Consider the following 21103-nt stretch of genomic DNA (forward strand, 5'->3'; position numbering starts at 1 on the left):
TACTAAGTGGCCGGGCGTCGTGGCTCACGCCTGTAATCACAGCACTTTGGGAGGCCGAGGCTGGCGGATCATGAGGTCAGGAGATCGAGACCATCCTGGCTAACATGGTGAAACCCTGTCTCTACTAAAAATACAAAAAAATTAGCTGGGCAAGGCGGTGGGCGCCTGTAGTCCCAGCTACTCGGGAGGCTAAGGCAGGAGAATGGCGTGAACTCGGGAGGCGGAGCTTGCAGTGAGCCGAGATTGCGCCACTGCACTCCAGCCTAGGCGACAGAGCCAGACTCCGCCTCAAAAAAAAAAGAAAAAAAAATACTAGTACTAAGTAAGGATATTAATCTCCCCCATTTTTCCTGTCTTCCATCCACTTATTCCTAAAATAGCAGGCATCAACATCGGGAAAATTCATTAGAAATGCAAATTATTGGGCAACAACCTAGACCTACTGAATCCTAAACTCAGGATTGGGCACAGCAATGTTTTAACAAGCTCTCCAGCTGATTCTGATGTACACTTAAGCTTGAGAATCCACTAGGAAAATACTGGAACAGTCTTGGTATTCTGTTTTGGGAGGGGATCAAATATCACCTGTATTGCTAATAAAGATATTGGAACATGTGGTTTACTAGGCAAGTGGAATTCTTGTTTTGCCCTTTTTTTTTTTTTCAAAGAGCTGACTTTTTATAATTGAAAGAAATGAGGGCCAAGTACGGGGGCTCACACCTGTAATCCCAATACTTTGGGAGGCCAAGGCAGGGAATCACTTGAGCCCAGGAGTTCAAGACCAGCCTGCGCAACATGACCAAACTCCGTCTCTACTAAAAATACAAAAATTAGCCAGGCATGGTGGGGCGCCCCTGTGGTCCCAGTTACTCTGGAGTCTGAGATGGGAGGATCACTTGAGCCCAGGAGGTCGAGGCTGCAGTGAACGGTGCTTGCGCCACTGCACTCGAGCCTGGGCAACAGAGAGACCCTGGTTCAAAAAAAAAAAAGGGAGGGGGGGCTTATTACTTAAAAGAATGGTCTAGACACCTGATCACCTGGGTCCACCATTCACTGTGTTTTGTGGTTGTGTGGCATCCCTTCACCTTTCTGAGCCTGTTCCTCATCTGTAAAATGAGCATGATGTGTATCTTACAGGGTATTTTTTTTCTTTTTGATGGAGCCTCGTTCTGTCGCCCAGGCTGGAGTGCAGTGACACAATCTCGGCTCACTGCAAGCTGCGCCTCCCGGGTTCACGCCATTCTCCTGCCTCAGCCTCCTGAGTAGCTGGGACTACAGGCTCCCGCCACCACGCCCGGCTAATTTTTTGTGTTTTTAGTAGAGACGGGGTTTCTCCATGTTGATCAGGCTGGTCTCCAGCTCCTGACCTCAGGTGATCCGCCCGCCTCGGCCTCCCAAAGTGCTGGGATTACAGGCGTGAGTCACCGCGCCCGGCCTTTTTTTCTTTTTTTCAATTGAGAGAACTCAAGCAATCCTCCCTCCTCAGACTCCCAAAGTGCTGCGCCCGACCAAGGGTTTTGAAGAGTAAAATTTGGCAAGGTGTGGTTTACCAGTCCTACAAAGAATGAATTCGGCCCGGCGCGGTGGCTCACGCCTGTAATCACAGCACTTTGGGAGGCCGAGGCGGGCGGATCACGAGGTCAGGAGATCGAGACCATGCTGGCTAACACAGTGAAACCCCGTCTCTACTAAAAAAAAAATGAAAATAAAAAAATTTTTAAAAAAAAGCCGGGCATGGTGGCGGGCGCCTGTAGTCCCAGCTACTCGGGAGGCTGAGGCAGGAGAATGGCGTGAACCCGGGAGGCGGAGCTTGCAGTGAGCCGAGATCGCGCCACTGCACTCCAGCCTGGGTGACAGAGGGAGACTCCGTCTCAAAAAAACAAAGAATGAATTCGGGCCCTTACCATTCAAAATGTAGTCCATAGAGCAGTGGGATCACCATCACATGGGAACTAGCTAAATGCAGATCTCAGGCCCCACCCAAACCTACTGAATCAATCTGCATATGAAAAGATCCCCAGATTATTGTTGGAAAAAAGTTTAAGATGTACTTTTAGAACAAAGGCAACTGAAATGGGGGTAAGCTCGGATGATGTGAGGATCCAGAGTAAACATGTAAGGCACTCCCTATTCGCTGCCTCATTTGCACCTACAAGACCAATTACTGGGAAAGGTCATTTGAACTAAGCACCATCTGGAGCAAGGTGGAGGAAGAGAGGGTTTTTGGACTCTTTCTTGTCAAAGAGATTTAAGTAATTCGTTTTGTCTACTATACTAGAGATAAATTAAGGTTCCACACATCAAAAGCTCACCTACTCCAGGGTCTTCATATCCGACAGACAGTGGTAATAATCTTTCTCGGTGTCCCTCCAACTTCCTTCTGCTATAAATAAGATGCTTTCTCACTCCAGTAAAAGCCCTTAGCCTAGTGTTAGAGTCACGGTGAATGAAAACAGCTTAAACCATGGCTAACTGACCCATTAAACAAAACAAAACAAAGCAACACATGCATAACAATTATTTGAATCCAGCACCAGAAACTCCCCGAGGGCCTTACAGCACCTTTAACTACGGCTCCTTTCCCGCCCTAAACTCCCGAGGTCCCGCCCCCGACCGTGGGCTAAGGTCCGGCCCCCGTATTTCCGGGCGAGAAGTGACCACGTGGTTGTCGCCTATAACAATCCGGCCCTGCTCCCATCCACTGGCTAAAGCCTGAGAGCGACAGTTGAATACACCAATGGGACCCTGGAAGAGTCTAAGCGACAGCCAAAATCACCATTCAATGTCAGCTAGGTGCAAGGCGGGACTTTAAGTACGGAAGCTGCCCCGGGACATGAGGAAAGGAACAAGGGAAAGAGCCGGTGAAGGGGCAGAACAGGCAGGTGAGAGTCTAAGAGGGCTCAGTAATCTGAAGCTTGGTGGGAAGAAGGGATTCTGGGCTAGAAAGGGTGCAGAAGCCTGAAGTAGAAAGAGACGGGATTTTGGTCCGGGGTGGAGAGCGAATGCATTGAAAAGGGCCAAGGCCCAGGATAAGGTAGACATTTAAAGGGGTACGGATGCCCAAGGTAGAGCAGACACTTGAGGAGACCAGCTCAGCAAACGGAAGACACTTAAAGTGGTAGGTTCTCAAGAGAGAAGAAGTTTTTAAGACTAGAGCTAAGCAAGACATTTAAAAGGACATGGGTTGGGATTTGGGAACACGTTTATTCCAGAGGCAGGAACAAAGGAGTCGCTTGTCAAGGATCTGGTTAGAGAAGACTAGGGTCTTCCTCGAAGGAAGCACGCGCACGCCTGCTCTCCCCCATTGTCTTTTCTGGCTTCTCCAGGTTCCCTCGACCCAGGACCCCCTGTTCCCAGGCTATGGCCCCCAGTGCCCTGTAGACCTGGCAGGCCCCCCGTGCTTGCGACCCCTATTTGGGGGTCTGGGTGGCTACTGGAGGGCCTTGCAGAGGGGCAGAGAAGGCAGGACCATGACATCTAGGGCCTCTGAACTTTCTCCGGGGCGCAGCGTGACGGCTGGCATCATCATTGTTGGAGATGAGATCCTTAAGGTGTGTCTGGGACAGAAAAGGGGGGAGGGCGCTGCGTTCTCCTGTCCTTAAGGGCCTGCTGCACATCCCTCCATGGAAGGAGGTGAAACAGGGTGGGAGCCTCTTTGCTGCAGTAGGATCCTGGAGTGAATCCAGCATATTGGAGGAAAATTAACCCTCATTCTTTCAATTACTCTACTGAAAAACTTGTAGCAAAGTCCCTACAATTTTTCAACCTGAGAGAGCTGATTGAAAAAAAGAAAAATAAAAAGGTCATTGCAATTTACCAAGCAGTATGGTAGAGGGCAGAGGAGCTACACAACAATGACAGGAAGCCCCTCGAGTAGAGGAGGTACAGGTGTGTGTATTGTATATTTAAGAGTTTTGGCCGGGTGCGGTGGCTCACGCATGTAATCCCAGCACTTTGGGAGGCCGAGGCGGGTGGATCACGAGTTCAGGAGTTCGAGACCAGCCTCAACATGGAGAAACCCCATCTCTACTAAAAATACAAAATTAGCCAGGCGTGGTGGTGCATGCCTGTAATCCCAGCTACTTGGCAGGCTGAGGCAGGAGAATTGCTTGAACGTGGGAGGCGGAGGTTGCAGTGAGCTGAGATCGTGCCATTGCACTCCAGCCTGGGCAACAAGAGCGAAACTCCGTCTCAAAAAAAAAAAAAAAAAAAAGAGTTTTACCCAGCCTTTTTGGAAATGACTCAAGGTACTCAGCGTAGTGGATAAGTGAGCTAGAAGGAAGGTACTAGAAGGGATGAATCCCCTCCGAATGATCAGGAAAGTCTTACTAGAGGACATAACAGATGACACGGGTTTTTTTGTTTTTGAGACAAGATTTTGCTCTGTCACCTAGGCTGGAGTGCAGTGGCACAGTCACAGCTCACTGAAGCCTCCATCTTCCAGGCTCAAGCAGTCCTCCTGCCTCAGCATCTGGAGTTGCTGTGACTACAGGTGTTAGCCGCCACACCTGGCTAATTTTTTTTTTTTTTTTTTTTTTTTTTTTTTTTTCAGAAACGGTCTCACTATGTTGCCCAGGCTGGTCTCAAACTCCTGGGCTCAAGCAATCCTCCCACACCTTGCTGGGATTATAGGCATGAACCACTGAGCTTGGCCAAATGTCAAGTTTTAATAATAATCTTTTTTAATATTCTTTGTAAATTTGTGTTTTTTTTGTTTTTTTTGTTTTTTTTTTTTAGATAGTCTCACTCTGTTGCCCAGGCTGGAGTGCATTGGTGGGATCTCAGCTGACTGCACCTCCACCTCTCGCGTTCAAGCAGTTCTCATGCCTCAGCCACCCGAGTAGTTGGGATTACAGGCATGAGCCACTGCACTCAGCCTTAATAGACCCTTTTTTTTTTTTTAGACAGAGTCTTGTTCTGTTGCCCAGGTTGGAGTGCAGTGGCGTGATCAATTTTGGCTCACTGCAACCTCCACCTCCCAGGTTCAAGCAATTCTCCTGTCTCAGCCTCCCAAGTGGCTGGGACTACAGGCATGTGCCACCACACCTGGCTAATTTTTGTATTTTTAGTAGGGACGGATGGGGTTTCGCCATGTTGGCCAGGCTGGTCTCGAACTCCTGACCTCAAGTGATCCACCCACCTCAGCCTCCCAAAATGTTGGGATTACAGGCGTGAGCCACCTCACCTGGCCCTGACCCCAATTTTTTTTTTTTTTTTTTTTTTTTTTGAGACAGAGTTTCACTTTTGTTGCCCAGGCTGGAGTGCAATGGCTCGATCTTGGCTCACCGTAACCTCCGCCTCCTGGGTTCAAGCGACTCTCCTGCCTCAGCTTCCCGAGTAGCTGGGATTACAAGCATGGGCCACCACGCCCGGTTAATTTTTGTATTTTTAGTAGAGACGGGGTTTCTCCATGTTGGTCAGGCTGGTCTCGAACTCCTGACCTCAGGTGATCCACCCGCTTCAGCCTCCCAAAGTGCTGGGAGGCATGAGCCACTGCGCCCGGCTGTGTGTGTGTGTGTGTGTGTGTGTGTGTGTGTGTGTGACGGAGTTTCGCTCCTGCTGCTCACGCTGGAGCGCAAATGGCGCAATCTCAGCTCACTGCAACCTCTGCCTCCTAGGTTCAGGCAATTATCTCACCTCAGTCTCCCGAGTAGCTGAGATTACAGGCACCCGCCACCACGCCTGGCTAATTTTTGTGGGGTTTTTGTTTGTTTGTTTTGAGACGGAGTCTCGCTCTGTCACCCAGGCTGGAGTGCAGTGGCGCGGTCTCGGCTCACTGCAAGCTCCGCCTCCCGGGTTCACGCCATTCTCCTGCCTCAGCCTCCCGAGTAGCTGGGACTACAGGCGCCCGCCACCACGACTGGCTAATTTTTTGTATTTTTAGTAGAGACAGAGTTTCACCATTTTGGCCAGGCTGGTGACCCCTATATTTTAAGTGCCTACTAGAGTCTGGTAGTGTCCTATACATCACATATATGTGATTTTACTAATCTTCACAACAACCCCACACAAAAATCCCACGAAGTTGGCACTTTTTTTCTTCTTTAAAATTTTATTTTTCTGTGTGCATTTGTTTTATAAACGGGGTTCTCGCTATGTTAAACAGGCCAGCCTCAAGCAATTCTCCCACATCAGCCTCCCAAAGTGATGGGATTACAGGCATGAGCAACCTTGCCCAGCCCCCCACCCTTTTTTTTTTTTTTTTTTTTTTGAGACAAAGTCTCACTGTCGCCTAGGCTAGAGCTAATTTTTTGTATTTTTTTGTAGAGACAGGGTTTCACCATGTTGCCCAGGCTGGTCTCAAACTCCTAGGCTCAAGCAATCCTCCCACCTCAGCCTCCAAAAATGCTGGGATTACAGGCGTGAGCCACCACACCTGGTCGGCAAAAAATCCCAATTGATGAAACTGGGGGTCAGAGAGGTTGAGAAACCTGCCCAGGGTTACATACCTAGGAAGTTGTAGAGATGGGATTCCAGCCTAATGCCTGATGCTCCCTTACTCCAAAACACAGACCCTTTTTTTTTTTTCCTTTGGTGACAGGGTCCCTGTCACCCAGGCTGGAGTACAGTGGCATGATCTCGGCTCACTGCAGTCTCTGCCTCCCAGGCTCAAGCAGCCCACCCACTTCAGCCTCCCAAGTAGCTGGGACTACAGGCATGCGCCACCACGCCCCGCTAATTTTTGTATTTTTTTGTAGAGATGGGGTTTTACCATACTGTGCCGGTTGGTCTCGAACTTCTGAGCTCAAGCGAGCCACCCCACTCCACCTCCCAAAGGGCTGGAATTACAGGCATGAGCCACCATGCCCGGCCATCAGAACACAGACCCTTAACCACTAAACCCTTTGTAGACAATTAGAGGGAGATGGGGCTGGAAAAGAAGATAGGGTATACGCCACAGACAGCCCCAAATACTCTGCAAAGGAATTTGAACTTTCTTCTGTATACAGTTGGAAACAACAAATGGCTTTTGAGTCCAAGAGTGATGCAATCACAGTGACGCATTAAAACGGTTACTCCGGAGACATCAGAGCACTGTGGCTGGAGGCTGGGAGCCTGGCCAGGAAGCTGTCGCCATTGTCCAGGTGAAAGGTGCTAAGGACCTGCTTGGTGGCAGTGGGGACAGAAAGAAGAAAGCAGGCCAGGCGTGGTGGCTCACACCTATAATTCCAGCACTTTGGGAGGCTGAGGCAGGAGGATCACTTGAGACCAGGAATTCAACACCAGCCTGGGCAACATGGCAAGACCCCATTTCTACAAAAAAAATTTAAAATGAGCTGAATGTGGTGGCACGCGCCTGTAGTCCCAGCTACTCGGAAGGCTGGGGTGGCCCTTGAAGCCAGGAGGTTGAGGCTGCAGTGAACTGTGACTGAGCCACTATACTCCAGCCTGGGTGACAGAGACCCAGCTTTAAAACCAAACAAATGGATTTTCCCACTCTTGTGTCCAGTCCAGGCCCCTCAGCAGCCTGAGGTGGTGTCCTTCAAAGAGCAGAGCACTGCATCATCAGGTGGATGCAGCCATCATCTTCAACCCCTCCCCTTCATCCCTACAGTACTGATGGCCTCATCTTCCCCTTCAACCCCCAGGGACACACTCAGGACACCAACACCTTCTTTCTGTGCCGGACACTGCGCTCCCTAGGGGTCCAGGTTTGCCGAGTCTCAGTTGTACCTGATGAGGTAGCCACCATTGCAGCTGAGGTCACTTCTTTCTCCAACCGCTTCACCCATGTCCTCACAGCAGGGGGCATCGGCCCCACTCATGATGATGTGACCTTTGAGGCAGTGGCACAGGCCTTTGGAGATGAGCTGAAGCCACACCCCAAGTTGGAAGCAGCCACCAAAGCCCTAGGAGGGGAAGGCTGGGAGAAGCTATCATTGGTGCCCTCCTCTGCCCGCCTGCATTATGGCACAGATCCTTGCACTGGTCAACCTTTCAGATTCCCTCTGGTCTCCGTCCGAAACGTCTACCTCTTCCCAGGCATTCCAGAGCTGCTGCGGCGGGTGCTGGAGGGGATGAAGGGACTATTCCAAAACCCAGCTGTTCAGTTCCACTCAAAGGAGCTATATGTGGCTGCTGATGAAGCCTCCATCGCCCCCATTCTGGCTGAGGCCCAGGCCCACTTTGGACGTAGGCTTGGCCTGGGTTCCTACCCTGACTGGGGCAGCAACTACTATCAGGTGAAGCTGACTCTAGACTCAGAGGAAGAAGGACCCCTGGAGGAATGCTTGGCCTACCTGACTGCCCGTTTGCCCCAGGGATCGCTGGTCCCCTACATGCCCAACGCTGTGGAGCAGGCCAGTGAGGCTGTATACAAACTCGCTGAATCAGGTAGGGACCTTATGGAGGAGGGGCATTATGCCCAAAGCCATTGGTGGCACCCCAGATCTCAGTAATGCAGGGGCTGTTGGGTGCTTCCTGCAAATCCCTGAGAGGGCAGAAGATAGCTTCTGTTAATTCATTATTCTTCCAATAAATGTTGATTGAGTACCTATTTTCATCAGCACTGTGCTAGGTGTTGGGGATATGGCTCAATAGGATAATGTATGCCCTGCTCTTATGGACCAGTGTTTTAACAAAAAAAGATGGACATTAAACAGGTGATCCTGCATGGGGTGATGAAAGGAGTGATCTCCCACAGCAGGGAGATCAGCCTTGATCTGGGGTCAGAGAAGGCCAAATGACATAAACTGAGTGATAAGGAGGATTTGATCAGTTCAGTAGGTGGGCAAGAGCCAACAGTATGAATGAGGGCCTGCAAGGAAGCAGCATGGGGTTAGGGAATGGAAGGAAGCCCACACCCCACACCCCCTGCTACAGAGGAATGACACTGAGGCTACTGTGAGGTGTGGCTGGGTGGCAGATGGCAGGGCAGGTCAGGGGCAGACTGCAGGGCCTAGCGGGCAGCATGAAGGAGTTTGGACTTTATCCTCAGAACACTGGGAAGATATTGAAGGGTTTAAGCAAGGGCAGCATGCCTTCACTCCCCTTTGATAGCCATATGTGTCCATCTGATGCCCTCTTCCCTGCCTGCTTGGCAGGGTCTTCTTTGGGGAAAAAGGTGGCAGGTGCCCTACAGACCATTGAGACCTCCCTGGCTCAGTACAGCCTCACCCAGCTCTGTGTGGGCTTCAACGGGGGCAAAGACTGCACTGCCCTCCTGCACCTCTTCCATGCAGCTGTGCAGAGGTGAGCCTGCCCCCGGGAGACAAGACCCCTGATCTGTTTCTCCAGTTCCACATCCCAGAAAGCAAGGAGAAAGGGGGTGTACAGGTGGAGTTCAAGAGGGAGATAGTCATGGTGACCTCTCAGTTCCATTCTCCCACCATATTGAGTATATGATATGTGCCTGGCCTTGTGTATGGATGTGCAGGCCACTATCCCTGACGACAGGGAGGTCACAGTCCTGCTGGGGAGATGAGAGATTTACATACCTGAACCAGGGATGCGTGCTTAGATTTGAGAGGTGAAAGGTCAGAGTGGGCTTCCCAGAGGAAGTGGGTCTAATGGATGGAAAGGACAAGGAAAAGGGAGAAGGGGTGAGAGTCTGTCCTAGGGGCCAACGAGAACAGTGAGCTGTTTCAGGGGAGCCATTTCCTTGTCCATGCTCACAAGCCTGTGGATTCTTCCCCCTCTGCAGGAAATTACCTGATGTTCCAAACCCCCTCCAGATCCTGTATATCCGCAGCATCTCCCCTTTCCCTGAGCTGGAACAGTTTCTACAGGACACTATCAAGAGGTACTAGGGGCCTGGAGGTTTGGGCTCCAAGAGAAGCTTGACAGAGCCCACGCCCGACCCCTACTTCTGTTTCTTCCTAAGGTATAATCTGCAGATGTTGGAAGCTGAGGGCAGCATGAAGCAGGCCCTGGGTGAACTGCAGGCACGGCACCCCCAGCTGGAGGCTGTCCTTATGGGCACCCGCCGGACTGACCCCTACTCCTGTAGCCTCTGCCCTTTCAGCCCCACTGACCCAGGCTGGCCCGCATTCATGCGCATCAACCCACTGCTGGTAATGGGGAAGAGGGTTTATCACCTTCAGTCTCACGTGCCCCAGCAGTCACTGCACCCTAGCTCACCTGCAGTAGTGGGGAGGCTAGAGCCTGGAACCTGGATGAAGGGGCCTCATCATCCAAGGGAGGCAGTGCTATCTGTTCATTCATCCTTTTGACCAATATTTATTGAGCCCAAATTCAATAGCAGGCATTGCACTTCCTACTGTGGATAGAATAGTGACTTAGACTTGTGCTGTCCAATATAGCCATTAATTATTTATTTATACTTAAATTTTAATTAATTAGAATGAAATACATATGACTAAAAACCACTGAATTATATACTTTAAAAGGATGAATTTGATGGTATGTGGATACCTCAATTTTTAAAATTAAGTACAATTAAAAATTCAGTTCTGGCTGGGCGCAGTGGCTCACGCCTGTAATCCCAGCACTTTGGGAGGCCATGGTGGGCAGATCACTTGAGGCCAGGAGTTCGAGACCAGCCTGGCCAACATGGCGAAACCCTGTCTCTACTAAAAATACAAAAAATTAGCCAGGCGTGGTGGCCTGTAGTCCTAGTTACTCGAGAGGCTGAGGCAGGAGAATTGCTTGAACCCAGGAGACGGAGGTTGCAGTGAGCTGAGATGGCACCACTGTACTCCAGCCTGGGCAACAGAACAAGACTCTGTCTCAAAAAAAAAAAAAAAAAAAATATATATATATATATGTATATATATATATACACACACACATACACAGGCCGGGCGTAGTGGCTTACACCTGTAATCCCTGCACTTTGGGAGGCTGAGGCAGGTGGATCGCCTGAGGTCAGGAGATCGAGACCAGCCTAACCAAAATGATGAAACCCAGTCTCTACTAAAAATACAAAAATTAGCGGAGCGTGGTGGCAGGCACCTGTAATCCCAACTACTCAGGAGGCTGAGGTAGGAGAATCACTTGAACCCAGGAGGCAGAGGTTGCAGTGAGCCAAGATGGCACCACTATACTCCAGCCTGAGCAACAGAGTGAGACTCCGTCCAAACAAACAAAAAAAAAATACAGTTATTCAGTTGTACTAGCCACATTTCAAATGACCACCATATTAGACAGTAGAGATACAGAACATTTCCATCATCACAGGAAGTTCTGGCCAGGCACAGTGGCTCACACCTGTAACCCCAGCACTCTGGGAGGCCGAGGTGGGCTGATCAATGCCTGTAGTCCCAGCTACTCAGGCTGAGGCGGGAAGATCGCTTGAGCCAGGGAAGTCGAGGCTGTAGTGAGCCATGATCATGCCAGTGCACTCCAGCCTGGGCAACAGTAAAGGCCCTGTCTAAAAAAAATAGGGCTGGGCACGGTGGCACACGCCTGTAATCCCAGCACTTTGGGAGGCCGAGGCAGGCACATCACGAGGTCAGGATTTCAAGACCAGCCTGACCAACATGGTGAAACCCCATCTCTACTAAAAAAATACAAAAATTAGCCGGCTGTGGTGGCGCATGCCTGTAATCCCAGCTACTCAGGAGGCTGAGGCAGGAGAATTGCTTAAATCTGGGAAGCGGAGGTTGCAGTGAGCCAAGATCGCGCCACTGCACTCCAGCCTGGGTGACAGAGCAAGACTCCGTCTCAAAAAAAAAAAAAAAAATAGGGCCGGGCATGGTGGCACACGCCTGTAATCCCAGCACTTTGGGAGGCCGTGGCGGGCGGATCATGAAGTCAGGAGATGGAGACCATCCTGGCTACACAGTGAAATCCCGTCTCTACTAAAAATACAAAAAATTAGCTGGGCACAGTGGTGGGCGCCTGTAGTGCCAGCTACTCGGGAGGCTGAGGCAGGAGAATGGCATGAACCCGGGAGGCAGAGGTTGCAGTGAGCCAAGACCACGCCACTGCACTCCAGCCTGGGCGACAGAGCCAGACTCCGTCTCAAAAAAAAAATAGACGGTTTCTCCCTGTCCTCAAGCTCCACCCTTGCACTAGAGGGTGGTTCAAGAATGGAAAGCAGAGAGTGGAGAAGATGAAGTCCTTCTCTTTCTCTTTGCATACATAGAGCAAGCTATACCAGAGAATCAGATAGCAAGCCCTCCCTCAGAGGCCAAGGGAGCAGAAGAGCCATGGATGGGCCCCTTCCCAGGACAGCAGGGGTAGAAGTGGGAAAGGTGAGCATTTGTGACTATTCTATTACTCTGACCTCCCAGGACTGGACCTACAGAGACATCTGGGATTTTCTGCGTCAGCTGTTTGTCCCATACTGTATCCTGTATGACCGAGGGTAAGGGTATTAGGGGAAGGGAATGGGTAAGGGAGTTTTTAGGGTGCTGGGATAGGGAGGGCCAATAGGATCGCCCACCCTACCACATGCTTGCCCTCCACCCTCCCTGCTCCAGATACACATCACTGGGGAGTCGGGAGAATACCGTGCGGAACCCGGCCCTGAAGTGCCTGAGCCCAGGAGGACACCCCACATACCGTCCAGCCTATCTACTGGAGAACGAAGAAGAGGAGCGGAACTCCCGCACATGACCTCCCACCCTAGGAGGGAGGGAAGGACACCGTCCTAGGGTATAACCTGGCAATAAACCGTGCCTCTCACTGTGCCTGTTGCTCTAGCTGTGTCTTCCTGCTCCAGAGGATGGGAGAAGCAGAAGTGGGTCAAATGCTGCCAGCTCTGACTGGCTGTGCTCACTCTAAGGGGCCCAGGGGCAGGGCAGAACAGGCTGGAAAGGAGCTCTCACTGATGGTTCTCAATGTCAGCCTCAGCAGGAGCCCACCAGAGGGCGAAAGCAGGAGTTGTGCCAACCACTGGGAAAAGGGCAATCAGGCAGGGCACCACCTGGGCTGGAAGAGGGGAAGCTGCCTTGGCCTAGCTGTGGAGGATGAAAGATGGAGTGGCCAGGCCCTCCCTCCCACTAACCCCACCCTCCCATCCCTGTCTAGAGGGGCTGACTCAGCCTGTTCCCAGGCCTAGAACCTTCCCTTTGCTAGACCCTGGATCCTTTGTCTCTGTAGTCATGAGGCTGAAGGGGGTGGGGACAGTGTTGATAAAAGGCACTAGAGGCAGCTCCCACACCCTTCCTCGGAACTGTTGCCCACATGCAGCCCCGGACACAGCCCCTAGCCCAAACCCTACCCTTCTTCCTCGGAGGGGCCCCTCGAGACACTGGGCTGCGGGTGCCTGTCATTAAGATGGGCACAGGGTGGGAGGGCTTCCAGCGGACCCTGAAGGAAGTCGCCTACATCCTCCTCTGCTGCTGGTGTATCAAGGAACTGCTGGATTAATGGTAGCAGGGAACTGCCTCCTCTCCCCACCAGCACCATGGCTGGCATCGCTCAGGTGGGCAGGGTAGAGTAAACAGGAGGCATAGCTGCAGCTTCTGTGGCAGAGCTTGCCTTAGCTTCTCATTCTCTTCTTTAGCCCCCAGCCCAATTGCCATCAAGACTCCTGAAGCCAGCTGTGCTTGACCAAGGATGGGCCATAAACAATGAGTAAACAGTAAAGTGTGGATCCTGCTTTGAGCTGTGTCATCTAGCAGACCTGCCTCATCTCTGAGCCTCCTTCATTCCCAACCCCTGCCTCTGGTGGACCTCTGGTGGGCAGGAGCTTGGACTGCTCTGGCTAGGACCCCAGTAAGATTGTGGCAAGACCTGGCACTCCTCCAAGCTTGGCACAGTGAGCCCACCAGCTCAGATGGTTGATCTTACCATACCCTCATAGTACCAAGAATGGACTGCCCCCTAAGAAACCTGTTTGAGAATCACTGAATTATAAATATAATCCATAGGCCTTGAGGCCCAAGATTATAAGTGTCTAAAGGGGAATCAGAAAAAGTCAGCACTAGAACGGTCTGGGAGCAAGGGTGCAGACCAGGGAGGGAAGGAGCTTGTCCTGAATAGAACCAAGATTGAAAGCCAGGTTTTCTGACTCACTGGTTCCTGAGTGGGGAGGGTGGAAGACAGTTCAGGTTCCTCTCAATCTGTGGGTAAGGAGGGGACCCAGCTTGAGTAGGGTCTTCATCTGTGAGGCCAAGGGTGTGTGGAAACCCAGAGGACCCAGCCCTTTCCCAAATAGAAGACCTGGTCCAGGCAGCTTCCTGCCTCTGAGGATCTTGGGGAAAGCACTGCGCTGAGGCTAGTCCCCAGCTCATCAAGGAAGTAGGACCCCATGAGCTACAAGAGCTCCCAGCTCACATACAAAGTTACCAGAGAAAGACACCTGTGTGGCCACACAGGTCCCTCAGGCTTATCATGACACAGCCCTATCAGGACATAAACAGCTAGATTGAGCAGAATTGGCTCTTTACTTCCTCTTGGTAGCCACAGCTGGTATTTTCCATGAGTTACTCCCGGTGGTAGATATACACCAGCCATGTGTATCGTCTTGCTCAGGGGGTGCTTATGCTTACTGATCTGCCCACCCACAGCCCCCCAAACCTCAGAGCCAGCCTGTTTGGGACTGTTCAGTATTTCCCTGGGATTCCCATCCAGCATTCTCTGGCCCCTCCTGGGGGGCCAGTTATCATCCCCCAGCCCTTTGTCACTTGGGGCACTGGCCTGGAGATTATAGATAGTGCCCTCTTCCTCCCTGCCTGGGACCAGCTCTTCCTCAGCCTTCTTCTTAGTTAACTCTTTTTTTTTTCTAGATTCTTTTTGTAAAGGTGATATATGCCCAGAGTAAAGAACTTTAGGCCAGGCCAGGTACAGTGGCTCACACCTGTAATCCCAGCACTTTGGGAGGCAGAGGCGGGCAGATCACCTGAGGTCAGGAGTTCTAGACCAGCCTGGCCAACATGGTGAAACTGCATCTCTACTAAAAATAATTAGCTGGGCGAGGTGGTGAGTGCCTGTAATCCCAGCTACTTGGGAGGCTGAGACAGGAGAATCACTTGAACCCGGGAGGCAGAGTTTGCGGTGAGCTGAGATCATGCCACTGCGCTCCAGCCTGGGGGACAAGAATGAAACTCTGTCTCAAAAAAAAAAAAAAAAAAAAAGGCCGGGCGCGGTGGCTCACATCTGTAATCCCAGCACTTTGGGACAAGGCCGAGGTGGGTGGATCACTTGAGGTCAGGAGTTCGAGACCAGCCTGGCCAGCATGGTGAAACCCCATCTCTACTAAAAATACAAAAAAATTAGCTGGACGTGGTGGCACATGCCTGTAGTCCCAGCTACCTGGGAGGCTGAGGCAGGAGAATGGCTTGAACCCAGGAGGTGGAGGTTGCAGTGAGCCAAGATTGCACCATTGCACTCCAGCCTGGGTGACACAGCAAGACTTCGTCTTATAAAAAAAAAAAAAAAAAAAAAAGAACTCTAATAGTTAAAAGTCTCCACGTCTATCCCCCAATCCTTTAGCGCTCCCCCTGGAGGCAACCATGGTTACCAGTTTCTTGGAGAACATTCCAGTCTGTGCATAGACTGCATCTTCATTCATTCAACAAATATTGAGTTATTGAGTGTATATTATATGTCACTGTGGGTCTTTGGATGCAGCAGTGAACAAAACAGATCCTTGTACTTGTGAAGCTTACATTTTAGGGGGTGGAGAGGACAAACTATAAACATTTTTTAAAGTATGTATATGTTATTAGATGATAGGCACTATAGAAAAAAGAAGTGGAAATCGAGCTGGAGGTGGGAATGGGGGCAGGTCATAGAGGGCCTAAGAATTTGAGCTTTTATGCTGAGTGAAATGAGGAACTATTGCCGAATATTGAGTGTGAAATGAGTTTTTTAATTTAAAAGGCTCAAGCTGGCTGCTGTGTTGAGAATAGATTTCAGGGGAGCAAAGGTAGAATACGAGTGACCTATTAGGAGGTAATGGCACAATATAGGCCAGACATGTTGGTGGTCTCGGACCAGGTTTATAGCAATAGCAGTAGTGAGGGGTGGCTGGATTCTGGATATATTACTCTTCCTAGTTAACATACTCTCCACGCTGTTCTGCACTTTGCTTCTTTTCCTTTGATAAACCTTGGACAGGATTCAGGATCCCACATCAGTACACGGAGAGCCTGTCCATTCTTTTTTACAGCAGCCTAGCCTCTACGGTACTCCAACTTGAGCTTATTTCTTATCCCTGGCAGGTCAATGTGTCTTTTTTTTTTTTTTTTTTTTTGAGACAGATTCTCACTCTGTCACCCAGGCTGGAGTGCGATGGTACAATCTCAGCTCACTGCAACCTCCGTCCCCCGGGTTGAAGCGATTTTCCTACCTCAGCCTCCTGAGTAGCTGGGATTACAGGAGCGTACCACCATGTCCTGCTAATTTCGATTTTTTTTTTTTGAGACAGAGTCTCGCTCTGTCACCCAGGGTGGAGTGCAGTGGCGCGATCTCAGCTCACTGCAAGCCCTGCCTCCCGGGTTCACACCATTCTCCTGCCTCAGCCTCCCGAGTAGCTAGGATACAGGTGCCCGCCCCCACTCCCGGCTAATTTTTTGTATTTTTAGTAGAGACGGGGTTTCACCATGTTAGCTAGGATGGTCTTGATCTCCTGACCTCGTGATCCGCCCACCGTGGCCTCCCAAAGTGCTAGGATTACAGGCGTGAGCCACCGCGCCCAGCCAATTTTGATATTTTTAGTAGAGACAGGGTTTCACCATGTTGGCCACACTGATCTCGAACTCCTGACTTCAAGTGATCCGCCCACCTCGGCCTCCCAAAGCGCTGGGATTACAAGCATAAGCCACCGTGCCCGGCCTCAGTGCATCTCTTTAGGCATCCACAAAATGCAGCTTAGTGCTCTTGGCTGGTCCGTTGAGAGGCTCTCACCTGGTCCCAGTGATGGGGGTAGTCAGAATTTACCTTCCCATGAATCTGGGGCTCCTTCTTCCCCCTCAGAGCCTGCACCCTACTTGGCCAGCTCCAGCCTTTCCTTCCCTGACTCAGGCCCTGGCCTACCGCCTTCTTTTCCTTTCTTAGGCCTCACTCCCACCAAGCGGGGCAGTGCCTAGAGGTGGATCCTGGAGTCTGAGGTCTGAGCCCAAGGGCCTTTGCCAGGGGAGGGGAAGTCTGGCAGAAACCACTGGGGAAGTGGTGGGTAGAGGAAGGCAGAATCCAGGGCTGTGGCCTGTGGTGAGAAGGGTAATAGAGAGCAGCAGGGGGAGTGACAGGTAGAGACTGCCAGTGGCCCAAGGAGAATGTCAGAGTGGGAAAGAGGGCTTTGGCAGTGTAAAGACTGAGGAGAGGGATGAGGAGAATAAAAGAAACCTCAGATACCATTCAGAGAGCCCTTTTCACAATACAGAGTGCTTTGAGCCTTACGAAAGTCCACTTCAGCAATTATCCCATGTTAACATGAAGGAAATAGGCCCAAAGAGGTGAAATGATTCGCCCAAGAACATACACAGCACACTGAGGTAAAGGAGTCATTTAGCGAACCCAGATTTTCAGATCCCCAACTCACGGCTTCTCCTAATGAGCCTGCCTTCCTCTTCTGAGCTGGTGTTTGCATGGAGATGGTGGCCAAAGTGGCCTGGAGGCAGGGCCATGCAAACAAAAGCATGGAGGGTACCACCTCCATGCACCCGCTCCATGCCACTTCCCACCTCAGCCCTAAGCTCCCTGTTCTCAGCCCATTTGGAGGTTTCAGGTGCAGCCCTTTCACCTAATCCACACAGCCAAGAGATCTTTCCTGGCCCATGGCTCCCCACTCTGTGGCTGTTCCCCCACAAGTATCTCTCCCCGACTAGGGCAACTCAGGTTTTGAGTGTCCAAATTACTCCCTCAGGAACTCAAGTGGAGTAAGGTGGGAGGGAGGTGAAGGAGACAGGGTACCAAGATATTAGGTTGGTGCAAAAGTAATTGCGGCCTTTGCCATTAAAACCTCACCTACCCCTCGGTGCCCTGGTGCCCTCTAATGGTCACAGGGGGTGGGGGAATGGGTGGAGTAGGAATGGAGACAGGAGGGACCAGCTGGATGTGACCCTCAAGTACAACAGCGAGAGGAGAAGCCTGATATCCAGGATTCCCGGCGGATTACATCGGATACAGGACCCTCGTTGGCATGCAAGGAACAGTTGGAGGAGAGGGGTCACGGCCCAAGGGTCTGAGGAGCGGCAGGCAATAAACTGGATATCATAGCAATAATCTGGCGGCGGGGAGGGGTGGGTGGGTGGGGATGTCCCACGTTTTCCCAACACCAAGAGGCCGGCAAAAAGGGGTGTGTGGCAATCATTTCACTGGCAGCGCCAGAGCGCAGACCCATCCCCAAGGGCATAGGCTTTTTTTTTTTTTTTTTTTTTTAAAGACGGGGTTTGGCTCTTGTTGCCCAGGCTGGAGTGCAATGGCGCGATCTCGGCTCACCGCAACCTCCGCCTCCCAGGTTCAGGCAATTCTGCTTCAGCCTCCTGAGTAGCTGGGACTACAGGCGTGTGCCACCACGACTGGCTAATTTTTGTATTTTTACTAGAGACAGGGTTTCACCATGTTGGTTAGGCTGGTCTCGAACTCCTGACCTCAGGTGTTCCACCCGCCTCTGCCTCCCAAAGTGTTGAGATTACAGGCGAGAGCCACCGCGCCCGGCATGGGCATAGGCTCTTATTTGCATCATATTTACATCTGTCTTGCATGTGAGTTATTTCCCTCCACCCAACTTTCTCAGTTACTCTCAGACTCTAGAGTGTTCGCCAGCCTTGGAGCGTACCCGTTCCTCCAGCCATTCTTCGGCCTCAGTTCCTTTCCATCATTCGCCCTCAGGCCTTCGCCTACCCCAGCTTCAAAGAAGCGACCGTAACCTCCTAGCTGGCTGGGTTCGAGAAGCCGGGGACCTGCGCCTCCTGGTGGCTGATCGGAAGGAGGCTGAGTGCAGAGGGGTTGTCTTGCCTTCTCTGGGACGTGGAGTTTTGGAAACTGTTCCCCTGAGCTTCCTGAAGCTAAATTTGCCTCCCCCGGCCTTGGGGGGCGCAGAGATCCCGGCGGCGATTAGCGCTGCGCGGCAGCCGGCTCCAACCCAGAGGCCCGGAATAGGCGCGGAGTTATAAATAGTGCCACCCGCAGGTGTTGGGGGGAGTCGGCGGGAGGGGGGTACCCCTGGCGGCCACGGCCCCTTCAGGTGGGTTGGGCGGTCGCGGTGGGAGCGCTGGGGGGCGGGGGGCGTGGGGGGTCTGCGGTCTGAGCGCCCCCAGCGGTTTCCTGGGCGGCGGGTTTTTCGAGGGAAGCGGAGGCAGCGGAGGATGGGGGGGAGCAGCGGAGAAGAGGTGGGCGCCTGGCGCATGCTGACGCTCCGCTTGCAGCTCAGCCCCCCACATTCCGAAACAGGCCCCCAGACCCACTCACGCAGGACCCCGCCCAGGCAAAGCCTCGCCTTTCTTAACACCTGAAGGCCTCATTCCCCCAGGTTCTGCAAGCATCTAACTTCTATGCTTCTACCCTTCGGCGCACGTGGCCCGGCCAGTCCGCGCACCTGGCCGTCATTCCGAGTCGCTGTCCCCAGCCCCAGGTATTCAGTCCTCCCACTCGGGGCTTTCATTCCTCTCTTAGGGTAAACACTTCCTTCTCTGGGTATTTGTCCAACTCGTGCTACTCTCCCCAAATTTAAGGTCTAGCTGGTCACCTAAAAATTTAAGTCTTAACATGCGGATCTGGGACGCTCTCCTATCCCCAGGCGGCCCCTGCAGGCCCCTCACTTGCCCTCCAGCTCCCAGTTCCAGTCTGGGCCTAGTGGCGGGGCGGGGGCGGCCGGCCCCTGGGGCCCAGCAGGGGTTTCATGGGAGGGGGCGGGGTCCCCAGTCAGCGTTTCTCTGCCGCCGCTGTTTCAGTCGTTTGGCGTGGTTAGGGGTTGGGGTAAGAGGGAATTTCAAGTAGGGGTTCCCCGCTCCGATTTCTGAGTAAGGAGGGGAGCTATTTGCACCAGGAGAAAAAGAGAGACAAGGGAGGGTGGGCGTCACTGAGGAACTAACTGCGGGTTCCAGGACCATTGGGAATGAGGTGAGGAGTGGCAATCTAGCCGCAGAAAGATCAGTCATGTTCAGCCAGACGCAGAACGCGACCCTCAAACATGGGGGAAGTTGGGCGAGGCGAGCCTGAGGCACTGGGCACCTTTCGAGTTTCTGTACCCAAAGGCTGGTGCCAGGGAGCCCGCCCTTCTATTGCCTCTGGAAGCCCTGGCTCTGCCCTCCCCGGGCCACGTTCCCACCCCCCCCGCCCCCCGCCCCCTGCCCCCCGCCCCCTTTCCTTGGCTATCCTCCTTCCTCCCCAAAGCAGCCCCCTCTCCATTTCACTTGTGGCACTGCCGCCTAGCCCCTAGCACAGCCCTTCACCAGGCCTGCACGACCCAGACGGCTGGAGTAGGAAGGGGAAAACCCCGGCCTGGACGGCTCCGGGCCCCTCCGGACCAGGATCTGTCCGGCGGGGCTGAGAAGAAAACCCGGAGCAGTGATCAGCCTCGCGACCCAAGGGGGTCAGGGACGATAGGAAAACCCGGAGCGGATTACTCGAGCCAGAGCGCCCCATGCCTGCCGCTACCTCCTCCTTCCTATAGCCCCCCTAATTCTCCAGTGAGATAATGTCTGGGGTGGGGGGCTGTTTGGTTTGGCCTGAGCCCTCAGGGGCGCCTCACACTTTCCGCCCCTGGCTGGGGCGCAGGGCAGCGGCCCCGAGGCTGAGTCACGGCCCGGCGCGGAGAGGGAGAGAGGGAGAAAGAGGGAGGGAGGGACCTGGACTCCGCCCCTCGTGCGCGGGGATCCCGGGTCAGCCCGGGTGAGGGCCAGGGCCCCCCTGGCGCCGCCCATTGTGGTCCAACAGGTTGAGCTGGTGTCCCGAGAAGCCACCTGCTGGAAAGGGAGGGAGGCCCCCTGCGGAGGGGGGTTGGGAGGGGAAAGCGAGTCCGACCCGGTTCGGCCTGGCTTGTCGCAGGGGAGCCAAACCTGGCCCTAGGTAGCCGGATTTGATTCCATTTGACACTAGTGGGAGGGGCCCTTTGGGGTACGCAGCTCCGCAGGCTCAGTCAGAAACATCCTTCACCCGCTACCTTTCTCAGTTGGGGGACTCCTAAGTATTTATCCCGGTCCTCCCCAAAACCTACACATACCACACATCCCAAAACATCCAGGCACCCCTCGCCACCTGGGTCTCTCAGCGAATTCATGTCAAGCTATCCCTCCTCGGTGGAGAC

At 52.6% G+C, this 21103-nt stretch overlaps 2 protein-coding genes across 9 annotated transcripts, besides 11 other annotated features; both read left to right on the plus strand.

Annotated features, from left to right (window-relative positions):
* Window positions 884-1481: an enhancer, noted in NCBI's record as "H3K27ac-H3K4me1 hESC enhancer chr1:154953875-154954472 (GRCh37/hg19 assembly coordinates)". NCBI's record gives its function as "activates a minimal SCP1, AML or CMV promoter by ChIP-STARR-seq in primed H9 embryonic stem cells {active_cell/tissue: H9 hESC(primed)}" and the evidence as "EXISTENCE:reporter gene assay evidence [ECO:0000049][PMID:30033119]".
* Window positions 2082-2679: an enhancer, noted in NCBI's record as "OCT4-NANOG-H3K27ac-H3K4me1 hESC enhancer chr1:154955073-154955670 (GRCh37/hg19 assembly coordinates)". NCBI's record gives its function as "activates a minimal SCP1, AML or CMV promoter by ChIP-STARR-seq in primed H9 embryonic stem cells {active_cell/tissue: H9 hESC(primed)}" and the evidence as "EXISTENCE:reporter gene assay evidence [ECO:0000049][PMID:30033119]".
* Window positions 2082-2741: a biological region, named in NCBI's record as "OCT4-NANOG-H3K27ac-H3K4me1 hESC enhancer GRCh37_chr1:154955073-154955670".
* Window positions 2562-2741: a silencer, noted in NCBI's record as "silent region_1372". NCBI's record gives its function as "represses an Ori minimal core promoter by ATAC-STARR-seq in GM12878 lymphoblastoid cells {active_cell/tissue: GM12878}" and the evidence as "EXISTENCE:reporter gene assay evidence [ECO:0000049][PMID:35858748]".
* FLAD1 (flavin adenine dinucleotide synthetase 1) lies at window positions 2829-12596 on the plus strand. 7 transcript variants are annotated; one of them, NM_201398.3, is made up of 8 exons: window positions 2829-2882; window positions 3327-3551; window positions 7590-8334; window positions 9045-9192; window positions 9644-9742; window positions 9824-10013; window positions 12198-12271; window positions 12387-12596. In NM_201398.3, the coding sequence occupies exons 2-8, from the start codon at window positions 3471-3473 to the stop codon at window positions 12520-12522; spliced, it is 1473 nt and encodes a 490-aa protein (NP_958800.1). In that variant the 5' UTR covers window positions 2829-2882; window positions 3327-3470; the 3' UTR covers window positions 12523-12596. The 7 variants fall into 7 exon arrangements, with proteins under 7 accessions (NP_958800.1, NP_079483.3, NP_001171820.1 ...); NM_025207.5 differs by having other exon boundaries at window positions 2829-3551; NM_001184891.2 differs by having other exon boundaries at window positions 12198-12596.
* Window positions 5097-5786: an enhancer, noted in NCBI's record as "H3K27ac-H3K4me1 hESC enhancer chr1:154958088-154958777 (GRCh37/hg19 assembly coordinates)". NCBI's record gives its function as "activates a minimal SCP1, AML or CMV promoter by ChIP-STARR-seq in naive H9 embryonic stem cells {active_cell/tissue: H9 hESC(naive)}" and the evidence as "EXISTENCE:reporter gene assay evidence [ECO:0000049][PMID:30033119]".
* LENEP (lens epithelial protein) lies at window positions 13071-13806 on the plus strand. Of its 2 annotated transcripts, NM_018655.3 has the most exons (2): window positions 13071-13333; window positions 13415-13806. In NM_018655.3, the coding sequence occupies exon 1, from the start codon at window positions 13093-13095 to the stop codon at window positions 13276-13278; it is 186 nt and encodes a 61-aa protein (NP_061125.1). In that variant the 5' UTR covers window positions 13071-13092; the 3' UTR covers window positions 13279-13333; window positions 13415-13806. The 2 variants fall into 2 exon arrangements, with proteins under 2 accessions (NP_061125.1, NP_001381459.1); NM_001394530.1 differs by having other exon boundaries at window positions 13071-13800.
* Window positions 18866-19818: an enhancer, noted in NCBI's record as "H3K27ac-H3K4me1 hESC enhancer chr1:154971857-154972809 (GRCh37/hg19 assembly coordinates)". NCBI's record gives its function as "activates a minimal SCP1, AML or CMV promoter by ChIP-STARR-seq in naive and primed H9 embryonic stem cells {active_cell/tissue: H9 hESC(naive and primed)}" and the evidence as "EXISTENCE:reporter gene assay evidence [ECO:0000049][PMID:30033119]".
* Window positions 19016-19095: a silencer, noted in NCBI's record as "silent region_1373". NCBI's record gives its function as "represses an Ori minimal core promoter by ATAC-STARR-seq in GM12878 lymphoblastoid cells {active_cell/tissue: GM12878}" and the evidence as "EXISTENCE:reporter gene assay evidence [ECO:0000049][PMID:35858748]".
* Window positions 19336-19395: an enhancer, noted in NCBI's record as "active region_1801". NCBI's record gives its function as "activates an Ori minimal core promoter by ATAC-STARR-seq in GM12878 lymphoblastoid cells {active_cell/tissue: GM12878}" and the evidence as "EXISTENCE:reporter gene assay evidence [ECO:0000049][PMID:35858748]".
* Window positions 19576-19815: a silencer, noted in NCBI's record as "silent region_1374". NCBI's record gives its function as "represses an Ori minimal core promoter by ATAC-STARR-seq in GM12878 lymphoblastoid cells {active_cell/tissue: GM12878}" and the evidence as "EXISTENCE:reporter gene assay evidence [ECO:0000049][PMID:35858748]".
* Window positions 20406-20485: a silencer, noted in NCBI's record as "silent region_1375". NCBI's record gives its function as "represses an Ori minimal core promoter by ATAC-STARR-seq in GM12878 lymphoblastoid cells {active_cell/tissue: GM12878}" and the evidence as "EXISTENCE:reporter gene assay evidence [ECO:0000049][PMID:35858748]".
* Window positions 20566-20785: a silencer, noted in NCBI's record as "silent region_1376". NCBI's record gives its function as "represses an Ori minimal core promoter by ATAC-STARR-seq in GM12878 lymphoblastoid cells {active_cell/tissue: GM12878}" and the evidence as "EXISTENCE:reporter gene assay evidence [ECO:0000049][PMID:35858748]".

This window comes from Homo sapiens, chromosome 1, assembly GCF_000001405.40.
Source record: "Homo sapiens chromosome 1, GRCh38.p14 Primary Assembly".
Classification (NCBI taxonomy): Eukaryota; Metazoa; Chordata; class Mammalia; order Primates; family Hominidae; genus Homo; species Homo sapiens.

Bases quoted from the DNA above. Each gene is read 5' to 3' on its own strand.
- FLAD1 (NM_025207.5), top strand. From the start codon at position 3,180: ATGGGTTGGGATTTGGGAACACGTTTATTCCAGAGGCAGGAACAAAGG. The intron at 9,193-9,643 runs GTGAGCCTGCCC...CCCCCTCTGCAG, and splicing joins TTCCATGCAGCTGTGCAGAG to GAAATTACCTGATGTTCCAA. The intron at 12,272-12,386 runs GTAAGGGTATTA...TCCCTGCTCCAG, and splicing joins TGTATCCTGTATGACCGAGG to ATACACATCACTGGGGAGTC.
- LENEP (NM_018655.3), top strand. From the start codon at position 13,093: ATGCAGCCCCGGACACAGCCCCTAGCCCAAACCCTACCCTTCTTCCTC.